Source organism: Homo sapiens, chromosome 7 (genome assembly GCF_000001405.40).
Source record: "Homo sapiens chromosome 7, GRCh38.p14 Primary Assembly".
In the NCBI taxonomy this organism is placed as follows: Eukaryota; Metazoa; Chordata; class Mammalia; order Primates; family Hominidae; genus Homo; species Homo sapiens.
The window spans coordinates 139,523,467-139,546,566 of record NC_000007.14 but is presented as its reverse complement, the minus strand read 5'-3'; the positions used below and the strand labels follow the sequence as shown (position 1 = coordinate 139,546,566).

The following is a 23,100-nucleotide window of genomic DNA, read 5'->3' as shown; positions in this document are numbered from 1 at the left end:
CGAGGCAGGCAGATCACCTGAGGTCAGGAGTTCAAGACCAGCCTGGCCAACATGGTGAAACCCTGTCTCTACTAAAAATACAAAAATTAGCCAGGCATGGTGGCACTCACCTGTAGTCCCAGCTACTCGGGAGGCTGAGGCAGGAGAATCACTTGAACCCAGGAGGCAGAGGTTGCAGTGAGCCAAGATTGCGCCACTGCACTCCAGCCTGGGCGACAGAGTGAGAGTCTTTCTCAGAAAAATAAATAAATAAATAATAAATAAAATAAAACCCGAACGGCACAGGTTACCCATTCTGTGTCCTCTCACATTGCTTCCCTGAACTCCCAGGGCAGGAGGAAAGCAGGGCTCTGAAGCCCTCGGCCACGTGGTTCTCAGGACTCTGGCAAGGTAGTTTACTCACCTTTGGAAGTGTGCCCTGCCTCGGGCATCTCTGCAAGAATTAAGGGAGCTGCCATATGTAAAGCAAAAAGTACTGAGGCTTTTGAACCTCACTGTCTTTGAGGGGTGGATACTGGTGAGAAACACGGGCTTATATGTAACTGAGAACAGGTGGGAGTGTGGGACTCCCACCGGAGAAGTGGCAGCAGCTGACCACTTCCTCGCCCCTCAGCCCCTCACAGCCACCCCTACAGGCCCACCATCACCAGCTGAATTCCCTTAACTACTTTATTGTATACTCAGGTGCCCCACTGGCTTCCCAGTGACAGCAAAATATAAAACCATAAACCACCTGTATTTTATGAAATATCTGGAAAGCACGCGGAAAATGTAACAAACCCAAGTTGGTGGTTTTGTCTGAAGACTGTAAAACCAGTACTAGGACTGTGCAGAGCACAGCAGGACCCGGTTTCTCTGAGCTATTTTCTGAAAATGGGCCAGGACCCAAATGCACACACTGGGCTCCCAGGCAGGCCACCCACATCTCATCTGCCCGGGGTTATCAGGAGGCTGGAGAGGCCTGGGCTCCACAGCTGGAGCCTCAAGTGTGTGTGGAGGAGAGCATGGAGCCCCCACAGACCCGAGGGCATTGCCTGCCAACCCCATGCCCCGACTGCTTCCTCCCCAGGCAGCTCAAGGGGGATAGGAAGAGGCCATAAGACTTTCACAAACTCTTTTCCAGCCCAATGTGAACACCACCTAATTTTCATGTTCACTTCATTCCATCCTGCCCCGATGCAGAATAAACCATCCCTTGACTATGTTCCAGAATGTTCTAGCACTTTCTGAACTGTTTCCTCTGCTCCTTGCGTGCTTCTTGGGGGATTAAGGCCAGAGATCCCCCATGCCTGGTGTGGTGTCTGGCTTGCGGTAGGTGTGAATAAACGTTTGTCATCTTGAGGTGACTAGCAATGAAGGAGCTGGAACAGCCACGTAAGAATACCTTAAAGGCTTAGCAACATGAAACGATGTCCTGAGGCCAGAAGGTGCTTTTTTTTCATCCTCACACACCGCTATCTGCTGCACTAGAGCAGGTGCATTTTGTGGTAGCCCCCACAGACTGGCACCCAGAGATGTGCCCCTCTCTGCCCCTCCCCGAGCTCTGACTCTGGAACAAATGGCGGCAGACTTCTCTGGACATGAGATATTAACTCTTTATTCCGTTAGTGACCAATACAACAGCACCACGGACACAGCAGGGGCCCTGCCTGAGAACCCAGGCAAGGCAAAGAAGGGGGATGCAGGGGACCTCTGGGGCCCGGGGCGGGGCTGGCCCGGCCTAGGTGAGGGGGAAGCTTTCCCAGCCTACCTCCGCCGGCAGCCAGGAGAGAAACCAGTGGGGAAGCGGGGCTGCTGGGTGAACAGTCAAACCACCTGTCAATGCCCCTCCTTCCCCAGAGCACCAGGGCTGCAGTGAGGAGAGGGCTTCTAGGGGGCCGGAGAGAGATCTGTGGGGTGGCTCAGGATGGACACTGAGCTTCAGAAGGGACAGCGTCTGTGCGTGCGTGTACCTATGCATGTGTGTGTGTGTAGGTGGGCAGATGCCTACACTACCTAGCATATGGGATTTAACTGCTGAGCCACACGACCTGCCTGCAGACAAAGGAGGCCAGGAACCAGGGACTCAGAGCGCCAGGGCCTGGGAGAGGGGCCTGGGGCGGAGGCCACGCACCCACCGCTTCGCCTTGCAGAGGGCAGGCGGCTCCGCTGGAAGCAGGTCTTGAGCAGACACCAGACACCTCCCACAGGCCTAGGGGCGGGGCCACCTCTGGCCCCACCCACCTCAAGTATAGGCCATCTTGCTGCACACCCAGGGCCGGGTCATCAGACACTCCGTCGACACCAGCCTGGTGGGCTCCACGAAGACACACTCCCCTGGACCTGCGATGGTGAACCTGTGGCCAGGAGAGAAGACCAGGCGTTTATGATCTGGAACATTCAGCCCAAAACCCAGTGGCAGGGGAGGCCATGGAGGCCCTGTGACCTATCCCTCCCTCACTTCATCACTGGAGCTGCCTTCTAGGACATTTGGGCCAACAGACTGTTCTAGCTTGGCATCCCATTGTCTCCCTACTCTGTGCACCGTAGCTCCAGCCACCCTGGCACGCTGCTGAGACATTTCCTGGACACACATGCACTTCCCCATTCTCAATGTCCTTGCAGGGTCGGCTCACATGTCCCAGGCTCCATGGCACCCAGTTCAGGGCCACTCTCTGCCCACTCTACTTCCCCACAGTCCCCTGCCTGCTCTGTGGGGCACTCCCATAGCCCCCTGGGGCCTCTACCTGTCTGTCCACACAGGTCCCCAAAGCAGCCATCTCCTGAGCAGTGAGCTCTGTGCGCTCTCATCTTGGCTCCCTGCAGTGCGCAGAGTTGAGCACACAGGAGGAGCTCTGCAGAGCTGGCTGAAGTCAGCTACCCCTCACAGGTTAGGGGTAGGCTGCAATGACCCCAATATGGGCTAACTGAGGCTGGGTTGCACAGGAACTCATTGACATCACACACAGATGGGTGTGGTGGGAGGATTCCCCCCTACCTCAAATCACCCCTTTCCAGCCTCAGAGGTTTCTTCTTAGCCTTAGTTGTTCACCCGGACCTCCGATCCCTGCCAAGGCTGGAGGTAGACCCTCACAACAGAGGGCATTGGAAGGACCCCAAGAAGGAGTGCAAGGGAAAGGACCTCTGCAGTGTCTGAGAAATGTGGCCAACGGCCCCTTGGTTGTCAGGTGGTCAGCACGCCACGGACCCCAGCCTGCAGGGCTCTGAGAGCAAGAAGCTTCCAGAAAAGCAGGGAGAGGGGTGCAAAGCGCAAGACCTCCTCAGCCACTCTGAGAGAGCAGACCTGAGAGGGGGACAGGAAAGGGGGTGAGATAAGGAAGGGGCACTGAGGCCAGAGTAAGGGCAAAAATGAAGAGTGCTTGAGATAAGGAAAAGGAGGAGGAGGGGAAGCATCATGAATGCCCCTGCCTCCAGGGCTGCCATGGGCGTGACTGCCTAAGCCATCCTCAGGTGGGAGGGCAGCTGATGGCCACCTCTGGCAACCAGGAGGATCCCAGGGTCTCAGATGCCCTTCTGCTTTAGCCCCTGCCTTGGGGACGTTCACGCATCATCATCATCATCGGGTTAGGAGCTGTGTTCCCCACCCCACCCCATGCCCTCCGGCTGGCACCTCAGAGCCTATTCCTCCAGCCACAGGGTCTGTTCTGCGGGTCCCACTTCCCTCTGCACACTTCCCTGCATTTCTCTCGGCCTAGACCACTCCTTTCCCCACGCCCCACACAGTCACCACTGTACTGCCACAGCCACACATCTGCCACCCACTCCGCCCATGACCATCACCCCCACACCACACACCAGACCTGGCATCACACACTCACATCCACTCCACTTGAGTCTTACAAAACCGCCACGGCACACGCCACCACCTCAGCAGCGCTCCGTCCATCAAGAGATGCGTTCGCCAGTAAAATGTGACCTAGAACACTCCCAGGTGCCTGCCTTCAGATCCCCTTTCTTCCACAGCTACAGTGCTTAGGTGGCACGAGGCTGCCCGGGACAGAGGCGCATCTCCCATCCTCCCTTGCGGCCAGGTGCGGCCATGTGACTAAGTTCTGGCCAATGGGGTGAGGCCATCCAGGGCCCTCCCTCCCATTCTCTGTCCCGTTCTGGCTGAATGGGATGTGGTTGCGCCACACTGAGTGGAGCCGACAAGCGCCAGGCTGCACAGATCAGGGACTCAAGGGTGGAGAGACCCTGGGCCGGACACCGCGAAGCTCTGATGGCTTTGCAGGGCAGAGCCACCAAGCCAGGCTGGACTTTTATGAGAGAGGGAGAAGTACAGACATTTTCATGGCTGGGTCTCTGGCGCACACTGCTGGACCCCGAGACTAGTATCTCTAGCTAGCACAAAACAAGGGCTTCTCTCTTCGGGAGTTGTGTCCAGGGGGTGAGTCAGGCCTTTCTCAGTCTAAGCTCGGTAGCCAGAAGATGAAGCCTCAGCTCACGTGTCCGGATCAAACGGGTCCCCGTTGACCCAGTGGAATTCGTCCCCAACTCTGCGTAGTCCAATCCAGGGCTCCCTCCGCGTGAACTTGAACATAAATTCCTGCACCGAGGAAAAAGGGACACCTCAGGGTCAGATGCGGTCTCCTGACTGCTGTCACATCCCAAGACAAACCTCAGCTTGGAAGATACTGGCTCTCGGGATGTACAGACGCCAGGAGAGTGACTGTTGTCTCGCTGAATCCCGCAAGTAAGGAGCTAGGTTACAGGATCCTCTGCAGTCACGCTGCCAGAATTCGGCTCCAAGCTGCTGGCTGACCTCACAGCAGTTGCCTCCGACAGCTTGAAAGGGACCCTGGCTGTGTGTGCATGCCACTGGCCAGGAAGGCTGTACAGGGCTTGTCCTCCTGGCTCAGCAGGACAGCATTCCTGATTTGCAGGAAGCTTGGGGATTGCCCACTGGTTGGATGATCTGGGACAAATCTCAATGCTCAGGTTGGTTGTCCTACCTGCAAATTTCTGGGACTTTCCCTGCAGACTGGGGATATCATACTGTGTATCAAAGGCAAACAGAAGTGATTTTTAGATTATCTTCTATTTTGGTTAATACCACTGTTAACCTCAAAATCCAAAATGGCCAATAGACTCCATTAATTGTGTTTCTTTCACGTTTCTGTTGCTAAGACTGTTTTGGATGTTAAATGAGAGACCGTGTCCTGATTTGGATCTTTAGAAAATGACAATGTGTTTTCACATTTCACAATGCATTTATAATTTGTAATTCTTTTTTTTTTTCCTTAAGAGACAAGTCTTGTGGCTGGGCACGGTAGCTCACACCTGTAATACCAGCACTTTGGGAGGCCTAGGCGGGTGGATCACTTGAAGCCAGGAGTTCGAGACCAGCCTGGCCAACATGGTGAAACCCTGTCTCTACTAAAAATACAAAAAGTAGCCAGGCATGGTGGTGCACAGCTGCAGTCCCAGCGACTCAGGAGGATGAGGTACGAGAATCATTTGAACCCAGGAGGCAGAGGCTGCAGTGAGCCGAGATTGCACCATTGTACTCCAGCCAGGGCGACAGAGTGAGACTGTCTCAAAAAAAAAGAGAGACAAAGTCTTGCTATGTTACCCAGGCTGGCCTCGAACTCCTGTGATCCTCCTGCCTCAGCCCCCTAAGTAGCTGGGACTACAGGCACACTCCACCATGCCCAGCTAATTTTCTTTTTACTTTTTGTAGAGCTAGGGTCTCACTATGTTGCCCAGACTAGCCCCCAACTCCTGGGCTCAAGTGATCCTCCTGCCTCAGCCTCCTGAGTAGCTGGTACTAGAGGTGGATACCACATCACCAGCTTTATAATGTGTAATTCTTCTGGTTTATAATACTAAGTGACCTCAACCAGTGGGCCTTGGATTGAAATAGGTGGCCTTGACAATGGAAGTGGAAACTGGAGCCACTCATTGACCTGCTCAGACTGTGAGGTCTGCCTGCACCCCAAGTGGTTATGCAGCAGGTGGGCGGCTTTGGAGACGTGTCACAGGGAACACTGCATCCTTTACTGTGTGGCTGTCCCCTAGAGTCAAGGTTGGGGGCCCTGAGGGTCCCTTCCCCCAACCCCCTTCACCTTGGCACACTCACCAGCTCCTTCTGGCTCTGAATCACAGCCAGCACCGCCTCGTGGGTGTGGCAGTACTGCCTGCCTGTGTTCCAGTCTCTGGGTTCCTCGGAAAAGAAGTAGCACTTCCTTCCGTAGAGCAGCCAGTCCTCCGGGCAGGGCGCTTCGCACTTGATGCAGCCCTTGGAAGCTGCAGGGAAGAGACCAGCTCGGCCCTGCCCGCCCCCCCAGCCCGAGTCCCACTCTGCTTTCTGTGGCTCCCTCCCCTGCCTCAGCTTTGGCGTCCTGCAGGGACACTGCAGATGTGGCTGTCCTCTCCTGGTGCCTGGAGGTAAAAGGGTGGCCACTAAATGAATGAGAAAGGGGACTGTGGGAAGCCTGGCAGGGGCATCATCACGACGGGAAGTGACAGCAGGGCAGCCCCTGGGTTAGGATCTCCTCTGTCTCCAAACTCCCAGAGGCATGGAACGCCAGAAACTCAGACTGGGAAGAGGTCTGGCGGCTATGTGTCCTCTCCTTCCAGCTAGGCCAGGTACCAACAGCAGGACAGACTGCCCGCTGTCATTAACCATGCCCATGTTAGCTACCAAGGCTGCCATTCCACCACTGAACTGCTGGGAAGTTCTTTTCATTTTTATTTTTTTAACCCCCTTGCTGTCAGTGTGCATGGAAAGTTCTTAAATGTTGAGTCCCAACCTGTCCCCCTGTGACCTAGACCTGCTGGTCTAAGGCCTCTGGAGTGACCCAGAGACACCCGCTCTGTCTTCTACCCCCTACTCAAAGAAGCACACCAGCCTCCCTCATCCAGGTTGAAACAGATGCCATCTCTCCCATGATTCCTGACAAGGGTTGCTCTCCATCCTGCCTGCTCGCTGCAATGTCCCCATGTTACCACTGAATCGCTGCCACCAGGACAGACCGGGACACATCAGATGTGGCTCTACCAGCAGCAACAGTGACCACCATGCTGTCTTCCAGTCGTCATGGGATCTCCAGTCTGCAGACTGCTTCCACGAACAGATCGGCGGGTATGTGCATACATGGACTTTTCTGGGAAGGAAGCCCGGAGCTTCTCAAAGGGCCTCCTTGCCAAAAGGAATTAATCCACAATCTTAGATTGTTTTCATATGATCTGATTCTAAGCCAGGTCTCCCCCAGTGTCAGAACATGTGAAAATAACTTCTTAAATCCAAATGCAGAACCTTATATTTATTTCTTCCACATTTATGTCATTCACTTTGGCTCATCATTTGAGTTATTCAAGATACATTTTAATCTTGATTTCTTTCACCCATCTGTCATATGGGATTGTGTTTTTGGATTTTGTCAGCTGCAAATTCCATAAGCATACTTTTTGTTTGTTTTCATACAAGTGATTGATTAAAATGTAGACCAGGACAGAGCCAAGAACAGGCCTCTGGTACTCAAGCCCCTGGGGATCTCCAGCCACACAGACACCAATTCATTCATCGACACCCCCTGGCATATATATCTGTTCAATGAGATGCAAGTCCACCTGGGAGTACTGACCATGGTGTGGCTACATTTCAACTGCTTTTCCATAAGGATCTCCTAAGAGACTGTTGTGCTTTATTAAAATCATACTAGCTATGTCTACACATTCTCTGGCCTCCCAACCTAGTAAGAGGGGAAAAGGAAACTGATTTAATTTGTAGGAGTTACTCCAGCTGAATTTAAGCTAGGCCCAGTGGTTGCCTTTTTTGTTTGTTTGTTTGTTTGTTTTGTTTTGTTTTGTTTTTTTGAGATGGAGTCTCGCTCTGTCACCCAGCCTGGAGTGCAGTGGCGCGATCTCGGCTCACTGCAACCTCTGCCTCCCGGATTCAAGCAATTCTCCCGCCTCAGCCTCCTGAGTAGCTGGGATTACAGGCATGTGCCACCATGCCCAGCTAATTTTTTTGTATTTTTAGTAGAGACAGGGTTTCACCATATTGGCCAGGCTGGTCTCGAACTCCTGACCTTGTGATCCACCCACCTGGACCTCCCAAAGTGCTGGGATTACAGGCGTGAGCCACCACGCCCGGACCTTTTTTTGTTTTTTGTTTTTTGTTTTTTTTTTTTTGAGACAGAGTCTCTTCTGTCACTCAGGCTGGAGTGCGTGGCACAATCTCAGCTCATTGCAACCTCTGCTTCCCAGGTTCAAGTGGTTCTTCTTCCTCAGCCTCCCGAGTAGCTGGGACTACAGGTACACACCACCATGCCCAGCTAATTTTTGTATTTTTAGTAGAGACAGGGTTTCACCATGTTGGCCAGGCTGGTCTTGAACTCCTGACCTCAAGTGATCCACCCACCTTGGCCTCCCGAAGTGCTGGGATTACAGGCTTGAGCCACTGCACCCGGCTGCCATATCCATTTCTAAACACTCAGAACCCCTCTCCTTGTCATACAAGCCCTATAGGGGAGGGTTTGGTAAGAACTGATAATATTGGTGGACTTTTCCGCCATTTTGTGGATTCCACCTCTGGTCTTATGGCATTTCTCAAAGATTAAAGACAGAGGCACTAAAATCATTTTTGCAAACCCTTCAGAACCTACAATACACTTGTATTTGAATCTCTTAAAAGTAATCAGATTCCCTGTTCATATAGCCTCACATGTTCTTAGTTGCAGTTTCTACCTTTTTCATTTATCCAACCCTTTCAGTTCCACACACACTCTATGTTTCTCAGGCCTCTTCCACTTAGCATGTTCTATTTCCTTGATGGGGTCCAGAATATGCCACCCTAAAATATGCCACTTTGACATATGGATCATTTTAAGCCGAAGGCAATTCAGAATCAACAGGAAGGGTTCTCTGCCCTCTCATCTCCCTAAAAGTAGGGCATAAATTTCCCTTTGGGGAGGGTGCTGCCCTACTCCCCATCCCTCACCCCATCCCCTCTCATACCCCCACTGCCCACCCTAAACCAGGGAGGGAAGAGTGACTCATCATCAAACATGCCAAGGAATCAACACCAGGATTAGTTTGCACAAGCAAACCTTACCAAAATAGCCTTTATCTCCCATTGTTCCTCTATATGTTTCCTAGTCACTTCCCTCAATTCACCAGCCCTTGAAACCCAAACCCTCTTTCATTTGTTAAAAAGGTATATAAGCCCCTGAGTCTAAATTCTTCTTTGAGTTTCACTTATTATCTGTGAACTCCCATGAACATAAATATTAATAAACATTGGTTACCTTTTCTCCTGCTAATTTGTCTTTGATAGTTCAATTTACAGGCCCCCAGACACTGAACTTAAGAGGGCACAGGAAAAGTTTTTCCTCCCTAGCACTCTCTACCTCCTAATCTCTGGATAACTCCTATTCATTCTCCAGGGTTCAGTGCACATGTTTTTTCCTTCTGGGAAGCCACTGGGCAGTAATACCTCTATTATTGCACTTACCCCTGGACAGAGGAGACAGTGTCATATTCGTCTTTTTTTTTTTAACCTTAGCACTTAGCCCAGAGCTTAACACACAGCAGCACTCAATAAATGCTGACTGAATGTGATCTTTTTTTTTTTTTTTTTTTTTTTTGAGATGGAGTCTTTCTCTGTCGCCCAGGGTGGAGTGCGGTGGTGTGCGATCTCAACTCACTGCAACCTCTGCCTCCCAGGTTCCAGCGATTCTCCTGCCTCAGCCTCCCAACTAGCTGGGATTACTGGCACCCACCACCACACCTGGCTAATTTTTGCACTTTTAGTAGAGACCGGGTTTCACCATGTTGGCCAGGCTGGTCTCAAACTCCTGACCTCAGGTGATCCACCCACCTCAGCCTCCCAAAGTGCTGGGATTACAGGCGTGAGCCACTGCGCCCGGCCGAATATGATCCTTAAAGGCCCTTATTCCCAAACCATCTCCTCCAAGAAGCACTGTCTTCCTAACCTACCCCAAGTTTGTTCTGAGTTCTCACAACACTTACAAAATAATACCTAAGTAACATCTCTACTCTACTTGCATGGCTTGATGAAGGGGACATGTATAGTCTGTGTGTGAATATATTATTTTAAGCTGAACTCTCAACAACTGACACTATGTATTTTCTACTTATTTAGTCCCCCACAGGATTCTTGGAATGTCTAGAATCTTTCTTTAACTAATTAGACGTGCTTTTAACAAGGAATGTGCAAACTGAATGCATAAATGCTCTGACACGCATGCTCACCCAAGATGCTCATCACCACCAAGATGGCGAACAGAAGGACCGCGATGGCACCCAGCAGGAGGCGTGTGGTGGTGTCTAGGAGAAGAGAGAGGGGTTCAACATCCCACCGCCCATCCCACCGCCAGTCCCACTGCCAGCCCCATACCCTGCTAATGAGAAACAGGGGGAGGTAGAGCCCAGCAAGCTGTGTTTTGTTGTTGTTGTTGTTTTGAGATGGGGTTTCACCATGTTGGCCAGGCTGGTCTCGAACTCCTGACCTCAAATGATCCACCCGCCTTGGCCTCCCAAAGTGCTGGGATTACAGGCATGAGCTACCATACCTGGCCAACAAGCTGTGTTTAAAGCCCTCCAGGTGATTCTGATGCAGGCTGGAGTTTGCGATCCACTGCTGTAGAGCGCAGCTCTGATTCTGTGACTCCCTGGCTTGAAACCCTCCCTGCCGGGGGGCTACCCACTGCTCATGAAATCTTCAGTGATGGTCAGAGCTTTCCATCTTGAATCTCCTGCTGCTTCTCTATGCGGTCGCAGGTTTCAGCCGCATGGGTTCCTCAAAATAACCCGTTCAGCCCTCACAGCCCTGCTACTGAATCTTTGCTCCCGAAATCTCCTCCTCCACCTCCTCCACAGATACTTCCTAAAATTCACCCACCTCTACACCATCCATCCTCTTCCTGATCCTCTGGGTTCTCTCTTTGTTATTTTCATGTATTTATTTTATTTTGTTATCATTTAATATTCTCATTTTATATTTAACGAGATAACCCTTTTAGACGTTAAACATAGGGTATTTTAAGGATTTTAAAAATTGTGATGAAAATATATAACATAAAATTTGCAATTTTAACCATTTTTTAGTGTACGGTTAGTGGCATTAAGTACACTCACAATGTTGTGCAACCATCATCACTGTCTGTTTGCAAACTTTTTCATCATCCCAGACAGAAGTTCTGTTCCCTTAAACAACTCCCATCCCCTCCTCTCCCCAGCCCCGGGCAACCACCCTTCTACTTTCTGTCTCTATGAATTGGACCACTCTAGGAATCTCATATAAGAGGAAACATCTTTTTCCTTTTGTGTCTGGTTCCTTTCACAGATTGTTTACAAGGCTCATCCATGTTGTCACACATGTCAGAACTTCATTCCATCTTAAGGCTGAATAATGTTCCATCGTATAGCAAGACCACGTTGTGTTTATCCATTCATCTGTTGGTAGACATTTGGGCTGTTTCCACCTTTTGGCTATTGTGAATAACGCAGCTATGAACATGGTGTATGAGTATCTGTTCAAGTCCTTGCTTTCAATTCTTTTGGGTATATGCTTAGGAGTGGAGTTGCTGGATCACATGGTAGGTTTTTTTGTTGTTGTTCTTTTGTTTTTTTTTTTTTTACTAAAGAACACTTATTTATTTTTACCAAAATTTTATCTTGAGGACATGGCTAAACTGCGTTTCCATCCCCCACCCCATCTTGAAGAAGGGTTACTACAGTGAACGTTATAAAGCAGATATAAACAGTGGAAGGACTGGAACCAACATTAATTGAGGAAGAACAACTTCCATCTAAATCATCATAAAAATGTTTAAGTAAAAAAAAAGGAAGAAAAGAAAAAAAGAGGGGGCAACGGGGGTTTCCAAATGGAAAAAGAACTTCACATTTCATCTAATACAGCCAATCTTGGCTAGAGTATAACAAAGTGGAAACAGGATTACTATGATACAAAACTTCCGCTACAGCACACCGTACTCACCTGTGTTCCAAGCCCACCCCCAACCCCCCTAATGCTTCCAATACAATTATTTATCAGCCTGTTGAGCCTGCCGATGAAGAAGCATGTAGATCTTCTCTTTAATCCAGTCTTTTTTTATAAGGCTGGTATGTCTGGGTATCAGCTCGGTAAACCAGGCAGCTGAGGTCTGCCAGATCATTGATGAAATCAAACAACTGACTGATGTCATATTTGATAGAGGGACTGTTGGGATTCATTCTTTTCACATGTCTTCATACATTTTACAAACGCCTTCCATGCATTCATTCACAGATTCGTAGTCAGCATAAGTTCTGCCTTCTGGCCTCTTGGTAGTCTGTATCAGCAAAATGGTGTGAGACATCGCGCCAAACTCTTTGCTACAGCCGCTGCCGACACCACCGCTGCTACCGGTAGTTCTTTCTGAGGAAAGACTAACTCCATCATTGGTTGCATAATTTTACATTCTCACCAGCAACAGACAAGGGTTCCAGTTTCTCCACATCCTCTCACCAATACTTGTTGGTTTGCATTGTTTTGATTACAGCCCTCCTAGCAGGTGTGAATTCCCTTTACAATTTTGTTTGGATTTTTTTTTACCATCTTAACCATTGAGTGCACAGTTAAGTACAGTTACATTGTTGTGCCCCCACTTTGAAAGTGTTTTTTTAGTCAATGTTATACATAAATCATAGATGAAAACAGTGCCTCTGCAGCTCAATGTTTGTCTGTAAACTGTTACTTGTCCATCATGATATAAGTGCCAAAATTGAGAGGAAGAATCTGTAGCAATTACCCGACATCCAAGTGCCTGCTGCTAGTTATTCATTTGTATTGTATTTTACAAAGGATTTTAAAAAGAAACCTGTTTCCTTCACCAAAGATAGTCTGAAAAGCACAGATTTAAGGAATCAAGAAATTCTAAAAGGCTTCATTTAAAAAATAATAGTGCAGAGCGCAGTGGCTCACACCTGTAATCCCAACACTTTGGGAGGCTGAGGCAGGCAGATCACTTGAAGTCAGGAGTTCGAGACCAGCCTGGCCAACCTGGTGAAACCTTGTCTCTACAGAAATTACAGAAATTAACCGGGTGTGGTGGTGTGTGCCTGTAATCCCAGCTACTCGATAGGCTGAGGCAGAAGTATCGATTGAACTCAGGAGGCGGAGGTTGCAGTGAGCCAAGATCGCATCAGTGCACTCCAGTCTGAGCGACAAAGCGAGACTCTGTCTCCAAAAACTAATAATAGTAGTAATAACATTGCTCCTTCCCCAAAGCCAACCACTGTCAACTCTTTTAGCTGACTCTTTTGGTATTAGCTCCAAATTTCTAAGTGCCATGTGTATGTAAATACTTCTAGATTTTTTTCTGTTTTAGATATAATTTATTCATTTTCCATTATAATGATGCAGACTTAATTCTCTGCATTACCATTCTACCCTGACCACTCAGTCCCTGCCTTCTCAATATCATAGTTTGTATTAGCTTGATACTTTGGTGTTATATACTTAGCTCAGCATAAACAGTACTCTCAGCAAAGCCATGCCGTGTGCTATGATCATTTCCATAGAACTTCTTGTTTCCCTGTTAATCCTGGTCTTCTTTTCCCTTTGCTCAGTTTCTGTATGGGTATCATTATTTCAACACCAAAACGCCTCTTTCATGATGAGACAATATCGGAATTTCTCTTTCACTTTGGTCTTAGTTCAGTCTGCTATAACAAACTGTCATAGACTGGGTGGCTTAAACAACAGACATTTATTTCTCCTAATAGTTCTAGAGGCTGGATCAGGGTGCCAGCATGGTCAGGTTCTGGTAGGGGCCCACTTCCTGGCTTGCTGACAGCCGCTTTCTTACTGAGTCCTCACATAGCGGAGAGAGGAAGTTCTGGTGTCTGTTCCTTTTCTTATAAGGGTCCTAATTCCATCACAGGAGCTCTACCCTCATGACCTCATCTAAATCTAATTACCGCTCAATTACCCACCTCAATATCATCACATTGGAGGTTAGTGATTCAACCTATAAATTTGGGGAGGAAACCAACGTGCAGGCCATAACACCCATCTTGAAGAAATGTCCCTTGGAACTTTCTGACCTGCTTGAATCTGACTAGTTGCCTTCTAAGCCCAGCTGCCATCCAGGGTCTCCCCACACCGGCAGCCTGAGGATTTCTCTGCCTCTCTCCTATGTTGGCTCCTCTGTTCCTTTTCTCCCATGTCTTCCCCTCCCTTGGTTTACTCCCTCATCTTGGTGAAGCACATCATCCAATGGCTGCCTGAGGAAGGGTAGAGCAAAACCACTGCACTGCACAAATCCAAGGATCAACGCTTCTCATTGTGTTCCATGGTGAACTGGTGAATGTTGCCCATGGAATTGTGAACTCAGAGGACTGAGTATTATAGATCAAGAATAATTCTCCTTCAGAATTTTGAAGGTATTACTTAATTGTCTTCTAGCTCCAGTGTTGCTTTTGAAAAGTCTAGGTCCATTCTCACCCATGATCCTTTTCAACTGCTTAATTATTTTCTTTCTAGATGCTTTTAGGGTCTTCATTGCACAATGTTCTAAAATTTCATCATTGCATGCCATGCCTTGGTTTGGTCTATTTCATCTACTCTAGTAGGCCCTTTCAATGTGGAAAGTGATGTTTTTCAGTTCCAGGAAATTTTTTTTCTTTTTCTTTTTCTTTTTTTTTTTGAGACAGAGTCTTGCTCTGTTGCCCAGGGTGGAGTGCCATGGCATGATCTCAGCTCACTGCAACCTCCACCTCCTGGGTTCAAGCAATTTTCCTGCCTCAGCCTCCCAAGTAGCTGAGATTACAGGTGCCTGCCATCACACCTGGCTAATTTTTTGTATTTTTAGTAGAGATGGGGTTTCACCATGTTGGCCAGGATGGTCTTGAACTCCTGACCTCAGGTGATCCACCCGCCTCAGCCTCCCAAAGTGCTGGGATTACAGGCATGAGCCACCATGCCCAGCCAGGAAATTTTCTTTAATTATATTATTGATGTTTTCTTCTCTTCCATGTTTTGTTTTCTTTCTGGAAGTCATAGTCTTCAAATGTTGGATCTCTTAGATTGGTCCTCCAAATTTCTCATCTTATTTTCCCCTCTTGTTTGCTATATCTTTGCCTTTTTGCTCTATTTCGTGGAACATTTTCTCAATTTTATCATCCTACCCTTCTACTGAGTTCTTAATTTCTGTGACTATATTTTTAATTTCCAAGGTTTGTTTGGTTTTGTTGCTGCTGCTCTATGAATACCCCCTCTTAAAGAATCCTATTCTTGTTTTAATGATGCAATACTTTCTCTTAACTCTTCTCTCTGAAGATATGACTGACAGGTTTTTTGGAGGGGTGGGGGAAATGAGCAGAAAGATTATTTCTCCCTGTATAACCTCTGTTTTGGTCTTGAGCTTCCATGTTAGAGACTTTCCTCAGGGGTCTGGGGACCACAGTTATCTGTTCATGATTAAGGCAGGAAGACTAATGAGTTCACTGGAGCCTCCAAGCCCATAGATAGGGGCTTATTAACTGTGGGGGACACAGTAGAGTGATCTGGCTGGGCTGATTCTTGGGATTCTCTGAATGCTAATTTCATTATGTTTTTCCTCTTGGATGGATGAGAGTCCATGGAGGAGGCTTTTCTGTTTTCTCCCCAGGAGAATACAGGGCTAGCTGAGGGAAGAGGCTGGGATGCTGTCCTCAGCATTCAGTATGTAAATGTTGGCTTAGTTGCTTGCTCTCAGTGTGGTGATGTCTAGAGGCCCTATTTTTTTTTTTTTTTTTTTTTTTGAGACAAGAGTCTCACTCTGTCACCCAGGCTGGAGTACAGTGGTGCGATCTCAGCTCACTGCAACCTCTGCTTCCTGGGTTCAAGCAATTCTCCCACCTCAGCCTCCTGAGTAGCTGGGATTATAGGCACCCGCCACCACACCCGGCTAATTTTTGTAATTTTAGTAGACATGAGGTTTCACCATGTTGGTCGGGCTGGTCTCAAACTCCTGACCTCAGGTGATCCGCCAGCCTCGGCCTCTCAAAGTGCTGGGATTATAGGCGTGAGCCACCATGCCCAGCTGAAGCCCTCTTTCTTGAGAGATTTCACCTCAGGTTCCTGCCAGAGCTGGAGAGAATCTGTACAGAATGGGAATCTAAATCCTCCTTAAAGAAATTTTCAACCAGTCCTCCTGTTCTCAGCCCCATCTTCAAGCACTGCCACCAACCCCTGAGCCTTAGAGGTCCTCCCATGAGGCTCAGGTAACTCCTCTGCTCTCTGGACTTTCTCAGATGGGGTGAAGTCAGTTACCGTTTATCCACTTGTTCCTTAGCTCTCTATTTTGTTGCTATTTTCTCTCTTGTTCTTGTCCTTATGGCCTTTTAAAAATCCCCTTGCTGTTTGGTTTGGTTTGGTTTGGTTTTTTTTTTGACACAGAGTCTCGCTCTGTCACACAAGCTGGAGTACAGTGGTGCAATCCTGGCTCACTGCAACCTCCGCCTCCCAGGTTCAAGCAATTCTCCTGCCTCAGCCTCCTGAGTAGCTGGGATTAGAGGCACGTGCCACCATGCCTGGCTAATTTTGTTTTTTTTTTTTTTGCTCACTGCAACATCCACCTCCCAGGCTCAAGTGATTCTCCTGCCTCAGCCTCCCAAGTAGCTGGGACTATAGGCGCACATCACCACGCCTGGCTAACCTATTGCATTTTTAGTAGAGTTGGGGTTTCTCCACGTTGGCCAGATTGGTCTCAAACTCCTGACCTCAGGTGATCCACCCACCTCGGCCTCCCAAAGTGCTGGGATTATAGGCATGAGCCACTGCTCCTGGCCCCTTTACTGTTGTATTAGTGGGCTTCTGAAGGAAAAAAGAAAAAATGCATGTGTTCAGTTCGCCATCTTGACCTGCAAGTCCAACAAACATTTCCAGTCTTTCCTATTGGCAAGGTCTATGTTGGCAAGTTACCAGGAGTCCTGGGTGGGTAGCTTCAGACATGGTAAGAGCAGAGGTTTCAGCCTGCACTGGAGGACTGGGCTCTCTCTGTTCATGCTCTGCTGTCCTTGGTGGCAGCTTCATCACAGTTTCCTGGAGCTACACGATGGCTGCCTATGGTGAGCATGCTGAGTGCATCCTTCTTCTCCCTTCTATTAGCCTCTTCTCTATCATTGATGCTGTAATCCTTTGTGCACTGAAGATAAGGGCATAACATCTGACATCACTTTGCCTGGGTTCAAATCTTAGCTCTGCCATTTTCTAGATGTGTATGGATGGTAAAGTTTCTTAGCCTCTATTGTAGTTCATTTTCCTCATCTTGAAAATGAGGTAATGATAATATCTACCTGTCTCTTAGAGAGTTATAGGAATTCAGTGTACAGTGCTTAGCACAGTGCCTGGCATGGTAAACTCTATTCAATCAACTCGCGGTGATTATGCAGGCCATCAGTGTGATGATGACCATCAGCCCTAGGCTCCTTTGGGGTAAGGACTGTGCTTTGGGGTAAGGACTGTGCTTTACTCACCTTCAGATTGCCTGAAAGAGGGCTGGGTCATTGCCCTGCATGTTACAGAGCACCCACTGGAACTCAAAAACTATGGGAGAAATTTAGTTACACCAAATGACAACATCCTTGGTCAACTTTAAATTCAACTGAGTTTGTAGGAAAGACCACACAGGGAAGAGGGATCGGTACATGTATCTGCAGCACTGCCAGACCCAAGGTGCCTCTTCATTATGTCTCAGGGATAATTTCTCTAGGTGCTGCACTGGACCATGCTTCCTCTGACCTCTGCAGGGGCTCCTTCCTTGCCTCTTCCTAGTGTCCAGTGGTTGCTGACGGACTTTGGCACTCCTTGGCTTGCAACCACATCAGTCCAATCTCTGCCTTTATCATCACATGGTATTCTCTTTGTGTGTCTTATGTCGTTCAACTATGTCCCCACCCAGATCTCATCTTGAATTATAGTTCCCATAATTCCCATGTGTCATGGGAGGGACTGGGTGGGAGGTAATTGAATCATGGGGGCAGGTTTTTCCCAAATCATGCTGTTCTTGTGATAGTGAGTAAGTCTCACAAGATCTGATGGTTTTATAAAGGGCAGTTCCTCTGCACACACTCTCTTGCCTGCCACCATGTAAGACGTGTCTTTGCTCCTCCTTCACCTTCCTTCATGATTGTGAAGCCTCCCCAGCCATGTGGAACTGTAAGTCCATTAAACCTCTTTCCTTTATAAATTACCCAGTCTTGGGTATGTCTTTATTAGCAGTGTGAGAACGGACTAATACAGTGCCTTTGTCTTCATGTGACCATCTTCTTATAAGGATGCCAGTTCATATGGGATTAGGGCCCACTCTACTCCAGTCTGACCTCATCTTAACTACAAATAATCTGCCAGACTGTATTTCCATATGCAGTCACATTCAGAGGTACCAGAGGTTAAGACTCCAATATCTCTTTTTTGGTAGGGACACAATTCAACTTCTAACAAATGTCTAACTCATTACTTGTTCCCTACTATGCCATGGCCCATATTAGATGGCGTATAAGGGTGTAGTTTATTTAGGTTTCTAAATGTGTGTGATTTCACCTAATTTTAGAAGGAACAACTGAAAAAACCTGACTCCCAGGCCCAGACAAAGCTCCCATCATCCTCACACTCATATCCCAAAAAAGGCCCATGCTGCTGTCTCTAAGTCATCGGGGACACAGCCTGGCAAGCATAATCTTGACTGTTAAAAACTACCAAATGTGAAGTTTGGTAATTTTTAAATTTTTAAGAGGCTAAAAGCATGTGTGTGGTTTTGATCAGGAAGTTGTGGGTTTATGCCTAATCAAGAAACTTTCAACATTAAAAATTCAGAATCGGTGAGCACTAAAAAATCTATAGGCTGAGGCACGCAGGCTCACTCTGTCCCCTCTCCCATACCCCCAGGCCACTCTGCCCCACTGCCACTCTCAATGCCAGAAATATGCCCATCTCGAATCACTTCTCTTGTTCCCAGAACCCAGGCGGGCTCTCCGGGTCACCTTTTCTAGCCTTATACCCCAGGCTGGAAGGAAAGGTTCATATCTACAGCGAGAGAAAAGACTTGATTAAGGCAACTTCTGTTTGGCTTCCTGTTTATAAAGCTAGTTATTCATCTCAGAAAAGTCTTAAAGACCTGGGCTCTAATCCCAGCTTTCTGCTTTAAGAAGCTCTCTGACTCATTTAACCCATAAGGAGGGAAACGTCAGTGCTGGAGGTGGCAGGGTTGTCTGGGGAGCAGGGGGAGGAGAGCGTGTGTGTGGGAATTTGATGATCCCCAGCTAGCTTCACCAAGGCTGACGTCCTTGGCCATGCAGGAAGGGGTCAGAGCCTTCACAACAGGGCTTTCATGTGATAGCAACCAAGGATGTCCTTGGGCAAGACACTCAGGCTCTCAGTCTCGGCTCCCTCATCTATGAAACAGAACACTCACCAGCCCCCCTGCAAGGGGAGAGGTGAGGACTGAGATGATGACTATGAAAGCCCCAGCAAGGCTCCAGCACGTAGCAGGTGCTTGATGTGCATTGGGCACATGGTGATAAAGGAGCAGAGACTTCTTGGAGGGTTCAGCTCAGTCAAGTCAGAAAATGTCCCATTTCTCTCAAGACAAGTGCTTGGCTAAGCAGGGGCAGCATAACCCTGGGTCCCCAAAGGACAGATCCCTCCTCCCATTGACAGTGTTTCATTACGTGAACTCTGGACTCAGGTTTGGGGTGGGAAGCAGAATCAAGGGAGGCTGACCAGAAGTCCAAGTGTTGCAGTTAGGCCTGGGCTCCCCCAGCAGGGGCTGCAGGAGGCCAAGTCCAGGCAGCTGGGAAGAGGAGTCACCATACACACAGCCCACACTCCAGGGCCTCTGTCTACCTGAGAGGTAGAAATCATGACCTGACTTGGCAGATAAGGAAGCAAATGGTCCAGGAAGTTGGAAAGCCCGCCAGCCTGTGGCAATGGAAGGCTCTGCCCCAGCTTTACCAGATGCTCTGCTTCCTGCACCTCCCCACACTGCCTCAGTCCCTGTCCTGGAACCTCTGAGAGAACATAAATGTGCCCAGGGCCCAGAATGGTACCCGGATGTTGCAGAAAGAATGAATGCATGATGGAGACAAATACAAAAGCCAGCACTGGGCCAATGCAGCAGCACCCTGGAGAGGAGCAGCCCTGCTCCATGAGCTCCTTTCTTCTGGGTCCTCCAGAAGAGGACCTCTCCTTCCGTCTGGGTCCGCCAGACCCGTCTCTCTCTACCCTGCCCCACCCCAGTACTCCAGGGCTCAGTTCCTACATGGGACAAACTAGCTCTGGCCACCTGGCCCAGAACACATCGTGCTCTGGGTCTGGGACACCTTTCCCTCTGTCTCCTCTCAGGCTCCTTTCCCAGGCTCCTCTCAGAAGAGAGGAGCTTGGGGGCACCCAAGAAGACCTTCAGAGAACTGGCAGAAGGGAGGCCCCTGGCCAGACTCAGACTCCAGATTCTAAAACTCCTGTGGGAAAAGTCAGTAGGCCCAAGATGCTGAGTACCCAAGGACCACAGGCCATCAGGAGTGGGACTGCTCCTGGGGAGACCAGGGGAAGGAAGGGGAGGGGACTGCAGGTGGCATGAGTCAGAGAGCAAGGCAAGGCAGGGGGCCATGGTGAGGCAAGGCTGGACCACAGGAAGATGCTAAGCATGGGAGTGGGCTTGACTCAGGGCCCCAGGCAGCCTCTGGGTGACCTTCCAGCTTGGTGTGTGGTCTGTTCTGCAGCCTGACTGGCAGGTGGGCAGCCCAGCCACAGTGGGGAGGAGGAAGCACAAGGGGGTGGAAGTCAGGGCAGGAGGTGGACAGGAACAGCAAGCAGGAGGCATTAAAGGGCCACAGCAGCCCAGAAGCAGCCCTACCATGGGGGCTGGGGTTAAGGTTAGGGCAGACCCTTCAGAAATGCTGACGAATAAATGAATGAAGAAATACAGGCAAGAGGAGGGAACAACTTCAAGAAATAGCTTTGGCAGGAGTGAAGCGTGGGAACACAGGGCCACTCCAACAGTAAAGCCGGAGACAGCGTCACGGGGGGGTGTCTGACCACCTCCATCCATTCCACACAACTCTTCACAACCCACAGCTCTGCTACAGCTCTTCTCCTTGGTGACGCAACATCTTCGCCTCCTCTGTCCCTGCCACTGTCTGGTGGTCCAGCTTCAGAGTCTGCACAGCCCTTCCTCGGACAGTGCACGTCCCCTGGCCCATAGCCTTTGTGCAGAAGGCTGGCATTACCATCCCCACCTCGCCATCCTCAGCAGCCCCATGACCTGCCTTGGCCCAGCTGCTGGTTATGTCCCTCCTGGTCCACTGCCCCACCCCCTCCCTGACCTCGAGCCTGGGTCCCACCCCTCTGGGCCACCACCAGTCTTCCAAGGGCAAGCCCACCATCTCCACCCCTCAGTAGCCCCTTCAGAACAAAGTCCAAGCTCCTGGGCAAGGCCTGGCTGGCCCTTCACCGTCTGGGTCCTTCAGGCCCGTCTCTCTCCACCCTGCCCCATCTCAGTACTCCAGGGCTCAGTTCCCACGTGGCACAGAGTAGCTCTGACCACCTGGCCTGGGATACGTCATGCTCTGGGTCTGGAACACCTTCCCCTCTGTCTCCACGCCTGCTAAGAGGTCACCTACTCCTGGGAAGCCCTCCTTTTCTGACACTGCCTCCCTAAGGATGGGTGATCCAGGCTCCAGGCTTCCCTAGTTAATGCTGCCCAGGTCCTCCTTGTCCTTGGATTCAGGGTGCCAGGAGCACCCTGAGAAGCACCCAAAGGGCCAGCCACCCTCTCACCAACTCCTGCATCTCCCACACCACACGCCGCCGGCGGTAGCTAATACAAGTTTCCTTAAAGAGCTCATGAACTTGAAATCAATTCTCTACTTGGGTTACTGCCCCGGAGGCAGGCCAGGGGTCCCTCCCTGAGGCAGTCTGATGGAGGAGTAGGTGTGACCCCTGACCTTGCAAGGAAGAGCCTCTCCTGGATTCTCCACCCCTGCCCTGCCCTGCCCTCCCCACATGCCCCACCACCACGGGGTCCCCGCGGCTCTCACAGGGGCGGGCACCACCTCTGGGGTCTCCAGCTTTCTTACTTTACTCGAAGCGTGTTCACGACCACAGATTCCGCCACCCTCTCAACACGCCTGTCTGGTGGGTGTCAGGCAGTGTTTGTCCCCTTCATGCGTGAGGAGACGAAGGCTCAGAGCGTGAAGCCCGCTCCAAGGTCAGAGAGGGAGTCGCAGCAGAGGCGGGGTCGAGGCTGTGACTCGCGGTGGCCCCCGGTTCCCTCCCACCCCACCCCACGAACCGGCGTCTGGCCGCCCTGAAATGAATGACTCCGCCGCGTCCCGGCGCCGCGCTCCCAGCGCTCCCCTCCGGGACAGCGGCCAAGGTGACTCTGACCGCCTCCGGGTCGCGGGTCGGGCCTGGGCAGGGGTCCCTGGGCCAGGAGAGGGAGGCCGCTCCGCGCTTACCCTCCAAGGCCGCCTTCCAGCTGGTGCTGCCCTCGTAGCCCGACCCGGATCGCCGCAGCAGCCCCTCGGGGCCGCGGGCCTCAGCCTCTGCGGGCGAACGCGGCCTGGGGGCGGCGGGGGCGGGCGCGGGGCGCGCGGCGAGGGGCGGCGGCGGCCGGGCCCGCGAGGGGGGCTCCCGGGCCGGCTCCATGCGGGGCGCTCCGCCGCGCCGCGCCCGCGCTCCTGCACCGGGGTGCGGGGCCCAGCCCGACGCGCACTCGGCGCTCCGCGCGCCCTGCGGGCCCCCCAGGCCGGCCTCGGGTGGGCTAGGACCGCGGCGCTGGCAGGCCGGGGCTGAGCCCGGCTCCCCGCGCTGGAGCCTCTGCGCCGGGTGCCGCCGCGGTGCGCTCAGCGCCTGCCCCGCCGAGCCGCAGCCTCCACGCACAGCCGGGCTGGGGAGGAGCGCGAGGCGGCGCGCGGGAGCCGGGAGCCGTGGACCCGGGCGGGGCGGGGCAGGGGCGGAGAGGGAGGAGGCGCGGAGGAGCGGGGACAGCCGGCTCCCCGACCCCGCCACCTGGGCTGGAGGCTGGATGCTGTCGAGCTGGGAGCGCAGTCTTGGAGCCGGGAGACCTGGTTCTAACTCAGCTCCATCTCCCCAGCCGCCTGCTCACC

At 50.7% G+C, this 23,100-nt stretch overlaps 1 protein-coding gene and 1 pseudogene across 3 annotated transcripts, besides 2 other annotated features; both read right to left on the bottom strand.

Moving 5' to 3' along the window:
* Positions 1,582-22,882, bottom strand: CLEC2L (C-type lectin domain family 2 member L). Of its 3 annotated transcripts, none has more exons than NM_001080511.4 (5): positions 22,450-22,882; positions 10,219-10,293; positions 6,080-6,246; positions 4,446-4,546; positions 1,582-2,336 (listed from the first exon to the last, which is right to left on the bottom strand). In NM_001080511.4, exons 1-5 carry the CDS (start codon positions 22,637-22,639, stop codon positions 2,225-2,227), a joined length of 645 nt encoding a protein of 214 aa, NP_001073980.2. In that variant the 5' UTR covers positions 22,640-22,882; the 3' UTR covers positions 1,582-2,224. The 3 variants fall into 3 exon arrangements, with proteins under 3 accessions (NP_001073980.2, XP_016867259.1, NP_001340297.1); XM_017011770.3 differs by lacking the exon at positions 22,450-22,882 and adding an exon at positions 22,069-22,210; NM_001353368.2 differs by lacking the exon at positions 10,219-10,293.
* Positions 1,640-2,241: an enhancer, noted in NCBI's record as "H3K4me1 hESC enhancer chr7:139229072-139229673 (GRCh37/hg19 assembly coordinates)". NCBI's record gives its function as "activates a minimal SCP1, AML or CMV promoter by ChIP-STARR-seq in naive H9 embryonic stem cells {active_cell/tissue: H9 hESC(naive)}" and the evidence as "EXISTENCE:reporter gene assay evidence [ECO:0000049][PMID:30033119]".
* Positions 4,159-4,932: an enhancer, noted in NCBI's record as "H3K4me1 hESC enhancer chr7:139226381-139227154 (GRCh37/hg19 assembly coordinates)". NCBI's record gives its function as "activates a minimal SCP1, AML or CMV promoter by ChIP-STARR-seq in naive H9 embryonic stem cells {active_cell/tissue: H9 hESC(naive)}" and the evidence as "EXISTENCE:reporter gene assay evidence [ECO:0000049][PMID:30033119]".
* On the bottom strand, positions 11,606-12,373 carry ERHP1 (ERH pseudogene 1; annotated as a pseudogene).
* Positions 22,883-23,100: the final 218 nt, after the last annotated feature.

What these genes read in the sequence shown, in the direction of transcription:
- CLEC2L (NM_001080511.4), bottom strand. Translation starts at nt 22,639, where the DNA reads ATGGAGCCGGCCCGGGAGCCCCCCTCGCGGGCCCGGCCGCCGCCGCCC. An exon ending in GGTGGTGATGAGCATCTTGG is followed by an intron (nt 6,247 to 10,218) that starts GTGAGCATGCGT and finishes TCTTCCCTGCAG; the next exon opens with CTTCCAAGGGCTGCATCAAG. An exon ending in TTCAGAGCCAGAAGGAGCTG is followed by an intron (nt 4,547 to 6,079) that starts GTGAGTGTGCCA and finishes TCCTCGGTGCAG; the next exon opens with GAATTTATGTTCAAGTTCAC.